Raw genomic sequence first — 12,841 nt, 5'->3', positions numbered from 1 at the left:
ATTAATGCTACTATAAGAGCAAAGGCGACTTCTGTAGAACTACTTTTAAAGTGTCACTCATTTTATTTCAATATTTGGCTTTTGACAGACGGTTTCTGGACCTCAGAAACTTTTGCAGGTCTATTTATTTTGTTCCTACCCTTCATATTTGGAATCTTTGGAATAGGGTACTCCCTGTGAGGTTCTTATAGAAAATACAAATTAAACCAGAAGAAGAATGGGAGTATTTACTGCTCACAATTTTAACGGGCTATTATAGGACCTTATTATGAAAAATAAAGTCTCTTAAAATGAAAAATCTAGTGAATTCCTAAAGGAACATTGTGAGTCAGTTACAAAGAAGTCAGGAAAAGTTAGTAAGTTGACCAAAGTAGTGAGAAATACTGGTGGGTAGACTTAAACATAAAGATATCACACAGGAAAGCCCTTGGTTTTAGGCACAGTGTGGCATTTCCCATCTGATCATTTTACCTCAAAGAATATGGGAATCTGTGCTTTAGAAAATCCTAATCTGGGCCAGGCGTGGTGGCTCATGCCTGTAATCCCAGCACTTTGGGAGGCTGAGGCGGGTGGATCACAAGGTCAGGAGATTGAGACCATCCTGGCCAACATGGTGAAGCCCTGTCTCTACTAAAAATACAAAAATTAGCTGGGTGTGGTGGTGCGTGCCTGTAATCCCAGCTACTTGGGAGACTGAGGCAGGAGAATCGCTGGAACCCAGAAAACAGAGGTTGCAATGAGCCAAGATTGTGCCACTGCCCTCTGGCCTGGCGACAGAGCGAGACTCCATCTCAAAATAAATAAATAAATAAATAAGTAAATAAATAAATAAAAGAAAGAAAGTCCTAATCTGGCAGCATGGAGAGAGGGCCAAAGCACCTGAGCCAGGAACGTCTAGCTTTCAGTAGTTGTCCCATATGTCCTGGGCCAAGCCATTCTCTTCCTTCAGCCTAAGAGTCCTCATCTGTAGGAGGAAGGGGATGGATCTGATCATTTATATGGTGTTGCATATGTCTGTCCATGCTATTTTGTGCAAAGCCCTTCTCGGGGTGGGGTGGGGGTAGCATATGAATGTATTTCAAATACCAAAAACACAAGTCTGTGGGAAAGAAGTTAGTTAAAAATATTTACTATGTGCCCACTAGGTGGCGGGCACTGTTATAGACAGTGAGGATACCAGTGTTAATGAGCCAGTTCTGAGCTGACTAATTGGGATCAGACTTACAAGTGAACGGCTGCCCCATAGCAGTGCTTCTAAGGAAGTCCTTTTCACAGCATAGAGTTATTCTTACTCAGCTCCTGTGTGCCAGCACTGTTCTAAGTACTTGGGATTACACAGTGAGCAAAATAAATTCCCTGTGCCCCCCTTGCACACTAGTTAGTGAGAATGTTACAGTAGACAATAACTAAGTTATATGGTAGGTTAGAAGGCAGTGAGTACTAAGGGAGAAAAGGAGTTAGGTAAGGGTGGTTGAGTGTGGGGTGGGGGACCAGTTTTCAGCATTTAAACGGGACTCAATGGAGATGGGTGCAATTAGCCAAGCAGATATCTGATGAAAGAGCTGTAACTAGACAACAACAGGAGAAAAAGCTCCTAAAGTGTTTACCAGGGTGGGGATGGAGGTAAGGGTGGGAGCAGCAAAGAATCTGGAGGTAATAAAAGGGGCTCTGGGGTAATGGGAGCGGGTCATTTGGCTCCATGTAAGCCATTATAAGAAATGTGGGAAATTGCCCAGAAGGATTAGTATCCTTTTTGCCACACTTGTATGGCAAATTGGGGTGAATGGAAGAAGATGCTTATGGCTGGAGGGAAAGGGACTTCACCTACCTGATGCCTCCCTGCTTCCCTGAAGACTGAGGGGATCAGTAGCTCTGCACACCTGTGACTTGCCTGCAGCACACCTGCCTGGGAGCCCTGCCTTCCTGCCTTCAGAGTGGATTTGAATTTCTGGCACATGCCCAGCTCTGCAGGAAGTGCTCTACATATGTGATCTCATGTACTCCTTAACAGCAACCTGTGATGTGTAGGAGTTATTGTCTCCATTTTCACATGCAGGAAACTGAGGCCCAGTGAAGCTGAGTAGCTCCAGGATTCTCTTTTATTATATCTGCTTCTCTAATGTCCATTGGGCTTCTCTGAATGTACAGTGTTCTTGCTTAGTTATTTTTGAAACCTTTTTAAAGCTTAAAGTTACAGATTCTTTTTCCCTATTTAAAAGTTTTTCCAGGATCATTTCGTAATAAAAAATATTATACTTGTTTGTCCAAAAATTAGGTAAAGACATTCTTTTTTGGGTAGTTGTGAGAAAGCAGGGAATAAAATGAGATCAGATTATAGACACTTATTTTAAAATTGGAATAGAAATTGGTTTTTCTAAACTTCTGAAAAATGGTGTCTGTCCTATCTGATTAAGTACATAGAGAAGATTGGAAATTTTCTTTAAAATAAGATTAGCATGCTCAAAATGCCTTGTTATTCTGAAATCCACCAATAAAAGGGAGTACGGTATAGCTTGAAAAGGGGAATGAGAAGCAAGTTGTAGCCCTGTAGATCATTGAAACCTGTCAGTCTTGAGGCGGCAAGGAGCTCCCTGCAGGTGTTACCCCGTTACTGCTTGAAGATTATGATCAATTTGTTTTCACATAGGCCCAACACGAGAAGATCATCTCTCAGCACCAAGCAGTGATCATAGCCACTCAGTCTGCACAAGTGTTGCTTGAGAAACAGGGTCAGTATCTCTCTCCTGAAGAAAAAGAGAAACTGCAAAAGAACATGAAGGAACTGAAAGTGCATTATGAAACTGCACTGGCTGAGTCAGAGAAGAAAATGAAGTTAACTCACTCTCTGCAGGAAGAATTAGAAAAGTTTGATGCTGACTATACCGAGTTTGAGCACTGGCTACAGCAGTCAGAACAAGAACTTGAAAACCTGGAGGCAGGTGCAGATGACATCAATGGTTTAATGACCAAATTGAAGAGGCAGAAGAGTTTCTCAGAAGACGTTATTTCTCACAAAGGTGACTTGAGATACATCACAATTTCTGGAAACAGAGTGTTGGAAGCTGCCAAATCTTGCAGCAAGAGAGACGGTGGCAAGGTTGATACTTCTGCAACCCACAGAGAAGTGCAGCGCAAGTTGGATCATGCTACTGATCGGTTCAGGTCTCTCTACTCTAAGGTAATGTTATTTTGATTTTTTAAGGGAAAAGTCAATCTGCAATTATAGTTTTCAATTATAGTTTTGGAACAAGAGGCAAGAAACCTAAAATCCAAAACAGGAGGAAAAGGTAGCTTTAGCCTACTTCTATTTTTTTTTTTTTTTTTGAGAAGGAGTCTCACTCTGTCGCCCAGGCTGGAGTGCAGTGGCGTGATCTCGGCTCACTGCAACCTCTGCCTCCCAGGTTCAAGCAATTCTCCTGCCTCAGCCTCCCGACTAGCTGGGACTACAGGCATGTACCCCCACGCCCGTCTAATTTTTTTTCTGTTTTTAGTAGAGATGGGGTTTCACTGTATTAGCCAGGATGGTCTCGATCTCCTGACCTCGTGATCCGCTCACCTCGGCTTCCCAAAGTGCTGGGATTGCAGGCATGAGCCACAGTGCCCAGCCTTCTCTCTATCTTATTCACCTGCTTTACTTCTGAACAATGTATTTAAATATGAGAAACTTAAAGTTACTTTAGTTTTTGAGAGCATGATTTCCAGAAGTCCCAGCTCTCAAATGCTCTAATATCCAGTGTGACCACAAGATGGCGGTTGTGCATTGACTCTAAGCAAAAACAGATGCTTGCAGCCTCTCAAGCTTGGGAACTGGTTTCATCTCAGATTATCCTCTTCACAAACACTGCAGGTGTTTGTCTTGTATATTTGATCAGTATGTTATTTTAATACTTAATGAATAAAAGACTGTTTTGCTTGTTTTACTTCTGTGGTCAAGTAAAAGGTTTTTTTTGAAAAAAAAAAATCTAAGAAAATATTTACTGGTTTGTAATATAATCTGAACAGACTTGCCAAGTTGCATAAATGATTTAAAGACCATCACTGGCTCTTGGACTTTGCTCCATTCTAATATAGACTCTTTGTCTTCCTTTTGTTAATTAACTTGTGCAACATATAGAAATTTATTAAGCACCTTTAAAACCCTTCCATCAAATCGATATCTATACACATGGTGTATCAAAATCTCCTTCCTCTGATGATTGATGTCTTTATCTTTTATTCTATGTTAAGACTCAGCTCTTGTAAATATGTTTTTGAATTGGTATAAATCCAGAACTATCTCTTTATTTTATGGTTACTTTTTGGCTTCTTATAGGGTACCTCTTCATATAAAGGAGGAAATCTTAGCCCAACAGAGTTTTTATTAACTTTGGTGGAAGTCTGGTTTTTTTTCCAAGTTACATATTTTATAGGTCCTAAGATTATTTGATGCATATGAAAATAGTGGGTTTTAATCTCCTACCCCTTTTCTCTTTTGATTGTTAGTGCAATGTTCTTGGAAATAATCTTAAAGATCTGGTGGATAAATATCAACACTATGAAGATGCTTCATGTGGACTTCTTGCTGGACTCCAGGCCTGTGAGGCCACAGCGAGCAAACACTTATCTGAACCTATTGCGGTGGACCCCAAAAATCTTCAAAGGCAATTAGAAGAGACCAAGGTAAAAAGCGAGAGAAAGATCCACATTTCCAGTAGTCTTACTGAAAGGCTTCCAATTTCTCACACTTTTGTGATAGTTTCAGCTAAGAGAGGGGAACAAATGATGTGAAAAGTATACTTCTGCCTCCAGAGGTAGTTTTGACTCTATTTCTCCACAGTACATTCTTTTTTTTTCCGAATTTTTTTTTTTTTTTTTTTTTTGAGATGGAGTCTCACTCCATCGTGTAGGCTGGAGTGCAGTAGTGTGATCTCAGCTCACGGCAACTGCCGCCTCCTGGGTTCAAGTGATTCTCCTGCCTCAGCCTCCCAAGTAGCTGGGACTACAGGCGCCCGCCACCAGCTGGGACTACAGGCGCTAATTTTTGTATTTTTAGTAGAGACGGGGTTTCGCCATGTTGGCTGGGCTGGTCTTGAACTCCTGACCTCAGGTAATCCACCTGCCTCAGCCTCCCAAAGTGCTGGGATTACAGGTGTGAACCACCGCGCCCAGCCTTCCTGATGTTTTCTTAACAGGTTTGACATTGCTGTTATGGCTTGTGACGTGCCCCTCCATCCCCAAACAAAACTCAGTATTTTCCTGGCCACTTATTTATCTTTATACTTACTTATCTTGTTCACTGTTTTTTCCTCCATTAGAATTAAGCTCCACAAGAACACGTGTCTTTGTCTGCTTTATTCATTGCTGTATTCACAGCACCTAGAATATTACCTGGCCCAAAGTTGGTACTCAATAAATATTTGTTAAGGAATGGACAGTTGGAAGGGAAGAAGGGATGCTACCATCATATTCAGCGGTTCTAAGGACCAGGATTAGGGTTCTTACTGAATATCTTCATGATTCATAGAGATACAAACTTGAATAATTACTCAATACAGTTCTCAAAAAGTCCACCTGCTCTTTCAGAAATACAGGCTTGGTGTCAAAACTGCATAACAGTGCGATTCTCAGTCATACAGTGGTGGAGAGTTCTTAAATCTATTTTTATAATGTAAAACTTATTTTAAAATTCTAAAGTAAAGGATGAGAACTAATGTGACCAATAATTTTGAGTTTAAAAGTTTCATTCCATCAATCTATTATATGATTCCATTTCACAGGTTAATAATAGTAGGTTATTACTGCTACAGCTAGAAAATAAACACAGGATTGCCAGTTAGACAGCTGTCTTTCAGAAGTTAATTGCATATTATTTACAGAGTCGAAAAATTGTGCTGTTAGCACGGGAAACAGGTACCCTGCTGGGCAAGCTTAAAGTTAGGTATTGCCTGAGATTGACAACTCTGGAAAGCTAAGTCATACCCGGGTGAAATGTGGCAGGTTAATATCAGGCAGAGAGAAGGCCCGTGAAGGGGTGGGAAGCATAGGATGAGAGCAGGGAAGGAGGTCAAGCTGGGAGGTCAAGAGGGTGGAGGGCACTGCTTCTTTCCCAGGCTGAAGAGTTTATCCAGCCCTTCACTGGACACTAGGGAGATGATGTGGGCCAGGTCAGCATCCCCAGATCCATGCAGCCTCCTCAGGGTTGCTTCCTTTTTTCCAATGTGCATTTTCAGTCCTGTTTTTTTTTCTTTCTCCTTTCCACAGGTACAAGAACAAATCTATCTTAATTAAGTTTTTATATCCCCATGTATTGTATATTCAAGGACAAGATATGTGGTGGGGGTAGAGGAGATACTGTGACATTAAGGTCATTATTTTAGTAGGAAATACGTATCATTTAAAATAATTATTGATTGCATATATTACATTTAATTAGGAAGTTATTTTAAGTATAGAAAATGCATAAAATAGAAATAACACATTTTAAGTTAGATCTATATTAGTAAACAGATTATACTGCATATAAAAGTAATTTTTATATAACTAGAGCAGAAAAAGAATAAAACCCAAAGAATGTGATGGTTTTTTAATTAAACAGATATGTGGATAAATTTTAAAACGGAAAAACCTATTTAGTAATTGCTGCAGAAGACTCTTACAGTCCTAAGACAGTTAAAGAAATATGAAAAAGAAAGAGATCTCAAAGGAGAATGAATTCTAATTAAGTCATAGCGTAATTTGAAAAATTAAATGTACAATTAAAGTTGTTGCTGATAATGCACATATTTTTCTCTCAGAAGATTTCAGAATGTATCAAGGATAAATTTTTATGAGGATTAGGTGGCCTCCATTTCTTTGATGTTTATTAACATTTTACAATTACTTTTAACAATAATATAAACCCATGAGACTACTACAAAAAATCGATCTTTCTACATGTAGCATACTATCTTCTACTTATATTCTGATGAATCATAAATGTAATTTTTGGGGCATCCAATTTGTTCATTTCATTTGAAATGCTTTTGGCCAATAGCATGTTGTTATTAGCATTATTATTCAAAGAACTGTGAACTGTGTTGTCAACAATCTGATACTACTAGGCCATAATAACACTCCTCAAGATCCCCTTCCAGGGAAATTAGTGGATAAAACAAGATTTTAGCCCCATAAGAGGTGCAGAAAACAGGATTTTGGGACCAGTCTCAAGGCCTGGGTGTGGAACCAGCAATGGGGATTGCATTGACTGACAATGTCAGCCTTCCAGACTTGCGCTAATCTTTGGGGTGGTGTTAAGTCAGGAAACTTTTATGAATTGTACAAATGCCCAGAAGTGTATAGACTTCGCTGTCTTCTGGTCCCAACAGGTATTCTCTTGTCACAGATCCTTCTTTCATGTCTTAATTTCCTTGAAATCCATTCAAAACAATATAAGGTACCCATTTGAATACTGTAATTAACAGTTTTTTTTCCAAAATAGCACTATAAACAACTATTATTGTTAAATTAGGACCTTGATACTTGCTAGGAATTAAAAATGATTAACTCTCCTGAATATAATTGTCAAGAGTAAAGGCATGTGATGTTTTGAGAAGAAGAGGTGAAGAAGACATGCTTCTTTTATAATGCACTTCTAAGTTTTAAGCTGGTAGTCAGGGCCATCTTTGGTATTGGATATTCTAATAGAACCATGATCACTTTTAGATGTATTTATTCATTCAGTAAATGTTTGTATGCTGAGTTTCATGAAGGCACAAAGATGTTAAAACCCTGTCTCTGCCCTTGGTGAACTCACAATCTAAAAAAAATTTTCGGAGGGTACCCTTCACTTACTTCATCTCCTAAATAACCATGTTATATGAATAAACTGTCCCTGTGGTCTAGATTCAGTGTGGTCACAGGTAAAAAGTTCATGTCTTGAGGGATTTTTTTTTACACTTCCCGTAATTAAACTGCTAGGAGAATTTTTCAAACAGATCCACTCTGATGAGGATTCTTTGGCATCTTGAAACAACTGTAGGTTGTGGTATTCTAGATCCTATGTTGGTCGTGGTTTGGTGGGCCTTTTGACATATGCACAGACTGCCTGTATGTCATCTCAGTTTCTTGGATATGAAGATTAGTTGAGGAAATTTTTGCCATTAGCTTTAGGCATTTAAGTAATGATAATAAATAATGCTGAAATAGAAGAAAACCTTTTTAGGTCTTACATCTGATATGTTCATTTATTTACTTAGTTGCTGATTTATTCCTGAAAAAAATTTTTGGAGCCTGCTATGTGTCAAGCACTGATCTAGGCACTAGTAATAGAAAGCCAAAAGGGATGACTTCCTAGTTCTCAAGAAGGCTATAGTTTGATAGAAGACACAGAAAAATCCAATAATAGTCACAGGGTATTTATGGGATTTCCTGTAAGGAGTACTTACTAAAGCTAGGAGTGAGGAGAGACTTAGGGAAGGTTTTCCAGCTGAGTATTAAAAGGTGAAGAAGAGCCAAGTTCAGGATGGCGGGGGTAGGTTGCATGAAAAAGTTGGTATGTAGAGTTTCTAAGACATTGGGTCCAGCATGAATAAATAGCTAAGAAATAGCTGTGTTAGACATTTCTGGAACAGAAAGTTGAGATTGAAGGTAGAATTAGGGAATAGATTTCATTGGACCTTTTAGACTATAGCATGCTCAAGTCTTGGCCTTTTTGTCAAGGGAGACTACTAAGAGATTTTAACAGGGTTATTTGGCTGTTCTTGTGTTGCTATAAAGAAATACTTGATTGGAGCATTTAGTCCATTTACATTTAAAGTTAATATTGTTATGTGTGAATTTGATCCTGTCATTATGATGTTAGCTGGTTATTTTGCTCGTTAGTTGATGCAGTTGCTTCCTAGTCTCGATGGTCTTTACATTTTGGCGTGATTTTGCAGTGGCTGGTACCGGTTGTTCCTTTCCATGTTTAGTGCTTCCTTCAGGCGCTCTTTTAGGGCAGGCGTGGTGGTGACAAAATCTCTCAGCATTGGCTTGTCTGTAAAGTATTTTATTTCTCCTTCACTTATGAAGCTTAGTTTGGCTGGATATGAAATTCTGGGTTGAAAATTCTTTTCTTTAAGAATGTTGAATATTGGCCCCCACTCTCTTCTGGCTTGTAGAGTTTCTGCCGAGAGATCTGCTGTTAGTCTGATGGGCTTCCCTTTGTGGGTAACTCGACCTTTCTCTCTGGCTGCCCTTTACATTTTTTCCTTCATTTCAACTTTGGTGAATCTGACAATTATGTGTCTTGGAGTTGCTCCTCTCGAGGAGTATCTTTGTGGCATTCTCTGTATTTCCTGAATCTGAATGTTGGCCTGCCTTGCTAGATTGGGGAAGTTCTCCTGGATAATATCCTGCAGAGTGTTTTCCAACTTGGTTCCATTCTCCCCATCACTTTCAGGTACACTGATCAGATGCAGATTTGGTCTTTTCACATAGTCCCATATTTCTTGGAGGCTTTGTTCGTTTCTTTTTATTCTTTTTTCTCTGAACTTCCCTTCTTGCTTCATTTCATTCGTTTCATCTTCCATCGCTGATACCCTTTCTTCCAGTTGATCGCATCGGCTCCTGAGGCTTCTGCATTCTTCACGTAGTTCTCGAGCCTTGGCTTTCAGCTCCATCAGCTCCTTTAAGCACTTCTCTGTATTGGTTATTCTAGTTATACATTCGTCTAAATTTTTTTCAAAGTTTTCAACTTCTTTGCCTTTGGTTTGAATTTCCTCCTGTAGCTCGGAGTAGTTTGATCGTCTGAAGCCTTCTTCTCTCAACTCGTCAAAGTCATTCTCCGTCCAGCTTTGTTCCGTTGCTGGTGAGGAACTGTGTTCCTTTGGAGGAGGAGAGGCACTCCACTTTTTAGAGTTTCCAGTTTTTCTGCTCTGTTTTTTCCCCATCTTTGTGGTTTTATCTACTTTTGGTCTTTGATGATGGTGATGTACAGATGGGTTTTTGGTGTGGATGTCCTTTCTGTTTGTTAGTTTTCCTTGTAACGGACAGGACTCTCAGCTGCAGGTCTGTTGGAGTTTGCTAGAGGTCCACTCCAGACCCTGTTTGCCTGGGTATCAGCAGCGGTGTCTGCAGAAGAGCGGATTTTCGTGAACCGCGAATGCTGCTGTCTGATCATTCCTCTGGAAGTTTTGTCTCAGAGGAGTACCTGGCCGTGTGAGGTGTCAGTCTGCCCCTACTGGGGGGTGCCTCCCAGTTAGGCTGCTCGGGGGTCAGGGGTCAGGGACCCACTTGAGGAGGCAATCTGCCCGTTCTCTAAATGCTCCAATTAAAAGACACAGACTGGCAAATTGGATCAAGAGTCAAGACCCATCAGTGTGCTGTATTCAGGAAACCCATCTCACATGCAGAGACACACATAGGCTCAAAATAAAAGGATGGAGGAAGATCTACCAAGCAAATGGAAAACAAAAAAAGGCAGGGGTTGCAATCCTAGTCTCTGATAAAACAGACTTTAAACCAACAAAGATCAAAAGAGACAAAGAAGGCCATTACATAATGGTAAAGGGATCAATTCAACCAGAAGAGCTAACTATCCTAAATATATATGCACCCAATACAGGAGCACCCAGATTCATAAAGCAAGTCCTGAGTGACCTACAAAGAGACTTAGACTCCCACACAATAATAATGGGAGACTTTAACACCCCACTGTCAACATTAGACAGATCAACGAGACAGAAAGTTAACAAGGATACCCAGGAATTGAACTCAGCTCTACACCAAGCAGACCTAATAGACATCTGCAGAACTCTCCACCCCAAATCAACAGAATATACATTTTTTTTCAGCACCACACCACACCTATTCCAAAACTGACCACATAGTTGGAAGTAAAGCTCTCCTCAGCAAATGTAAAAGAACAGAAATTATAACAAACTGTCTCTCAGACCACAGTGCAATCAAACTAGAGCTCAGGATTAAGAAACTCACTCAAAACCTCTCAACTGCATGGAAACTGAACAACCTGCTCCTGAATGACTACTGGGTACCTAACGAAATGAAGGCAGAAATAAAGATGTTCTTTGAAACCAACGAGAACAAAGACACAACATACCAGAATCTCTGGGACACATTCAAAGCAGTGTGTAGAGGGAAATTTATAGCACTAAATGCCCACAAGAGAAAGGAGGAAAGATCCAAAATTGACACCCTAACATCACAATTAAAAGAACTAGAAAAGCAAGAGCAAACACATTCAAAAGCTAGCAGAAGGCAAGAAATAACGAAAGTCAGAGCAGAACTGAAGGAAATAGAGACACAAAGAACCCTTCAAAAGATCAATGAATCCAGGAGCTGGTTTTTTGAAAGGATCAACAAAATTGATAGACTGCTAGCAAGACTAATAAAGAAAAAAAGAGAGAAGAATCAAATAGACGCAATAAAAAATGATAAAGGGGATATCACCACCAATCCCACAGAAATACAAACTACCATCAGAGAATACTACAAACACCTCTACGCAAATACACTAGAAAATCTAGAAGAAATGGATAAATTCCTCGACACATACACTCTCCCAAGACTAAACCAGGAAGAAGTTGAATCTCTGAATAGACCAATAACAGGCTCTGAAATTGTGGCAATAATCAATAGCTTACCAACGAAAAAGAGTCCAGGACCAGATGGATTCACAGCCAAATTCTACCAGAGGTACAAGGAGGAACTGGTACCATTCCTTCTGAAACTAGTCCAATCAATAGAAAAAGAGGGAATCCTCCCTAACTCATTTTATGAGGCCAGCATCATCCTGATCCCAAAGCCGGGCAGAGACACAACCAAAAAAGAGAATTTTAGACCAATATCCTTGATGAACATTGATGCAAAAATCCTCAATAAAATACTGGCAAACCGAATCCAGCAGCACATCAAAAAGCTTATCCACCATGATCAAGTGGGCTTCATCCCTGGGATGCAAGGCTGGTTCAATATACACAAATCAATAAATGTAATGCAGCATATAAACAGAACCAAAGACAAAAACCACATGATTATCTCAATAGATGCAGAAAAGGCCTTTGACAAAATTCAACAACCCTTCATGCTAAAAACTGTCAATAAATTAGGTATTGATGGGACGTATCTCAAAATAATAAGAGCTATCTATGACAGACCCACAGCCAATATCATACTGAATGGGCAAAAACGGGAAGCATTCCCTTTGAAAACTGGCACAAGACAGGGATGCCCTCTCTCACCACTCCTATTCAACATAGTGTTGGAAGTTCTGGCCAGGGCAATTAGGCAGGAGAAGGAAATAAAGGGTATTCAATTAGGAAAAGAGGAAGTCAAATTGTCCCTGTTTGCAGGCAACATGATTGTATATCTAGAAAACCCCATGGCCTCAGCCCCAAATCTCCTTAAGCTGATAGGCAACTTCAGCAAAGTCTCAGGATACAAAATCAATGTACAAAAATCACAAGCATTCCTATACACCCATAACAGACAAACAGAGAGCCAAATCATGAGTGAACTCCCATTCACAGTTGCTTCCAAGAGAATAAAATACTTAGGAATCCAACTTACAAGGGACGTGAAGGACCTCTTCAAGGAGAAATACAAACCACTGCTCAATGAAATAAAAGAGGATACAAACAAATGGAAGAACATTCCATGCTCATGGGTAAGAAGAATCAATATCGTGAAAATGGCCATACTGCCCAAGATAATTTATAGATTCAGTGCCATCCCCATCAAGCTACCAATGACTTTCTTCACAGAATTGGAAAAAACTACTTTAAAGTTCATATGGAACCAAAAAAGAGCCCGCATCGCCAAGTCAATCCTAAGCCAAAAGAACAAAGCTGGAGGCATCAAGCTACCTGACTTCAAACTATACTAC

At 39.8% G+C, this 12,841-nt stretch overlaps 1 protein-coding gene across 10 annotated transcripts in view, besides 1 other annotated feature; it reads left to right on the top strand.

Annotated features, from left to right (window-relative positions):
- DST (dystonin) overlaps positions 1–12,841 on the top strand; it is a 496,835-nt gene that overhangs the window by 357,990 nt on the left and 126,004 nt on the right. For all 10 annotated transcript variants that reach the window (NM_001144769.5, NM_001374722.1, NM_001374736.1 and 7 more), the window contains 2 exons: positions 2,648–3,178; positions 4,483–4,659. In NM_001144769.5, the coding sequence (NP_001138241.1) occupies positions 2,648–3,178; positions 4,483–4,659 (708 nt within the window). The remainder of the gene's footprint in view (positions 1–2,647; positions 3,179–4,482; positions 4,660–12,841) is intronic.
- Positions 2,691–2,950: an enhancer, noted in NCBI's record as "active region_24702". NCBI's record gives its function as "activates an Ori minimal core promoter by ATAC-STARR-seq in GM12878 lymphoblastoid cells {active_cell/tissue: GM12878}" and the evidence as "EXISTENCE:reporter gene assay evidence [ECO:0000049][PMID:35858748]".

The sequence above is a fragment of the Homo sapiens genome, chromosome 6 (assembly GCF_000001405.40).
Source record: "Homo sapiens chromosome 6, GRCh38.p14 Primary Assembly".
Classification (NCBI taxonomy): domain Eukaryota; kingdom Metazoa; phylum Chordata; class Mammalia; order Primates; family Hominidae; genus Homo; species Homo sapiens.
Note: the sequence above shows the minus strand (reverse complement) of the source record. Positions and strands in the feature narration are given on the sequence as shown.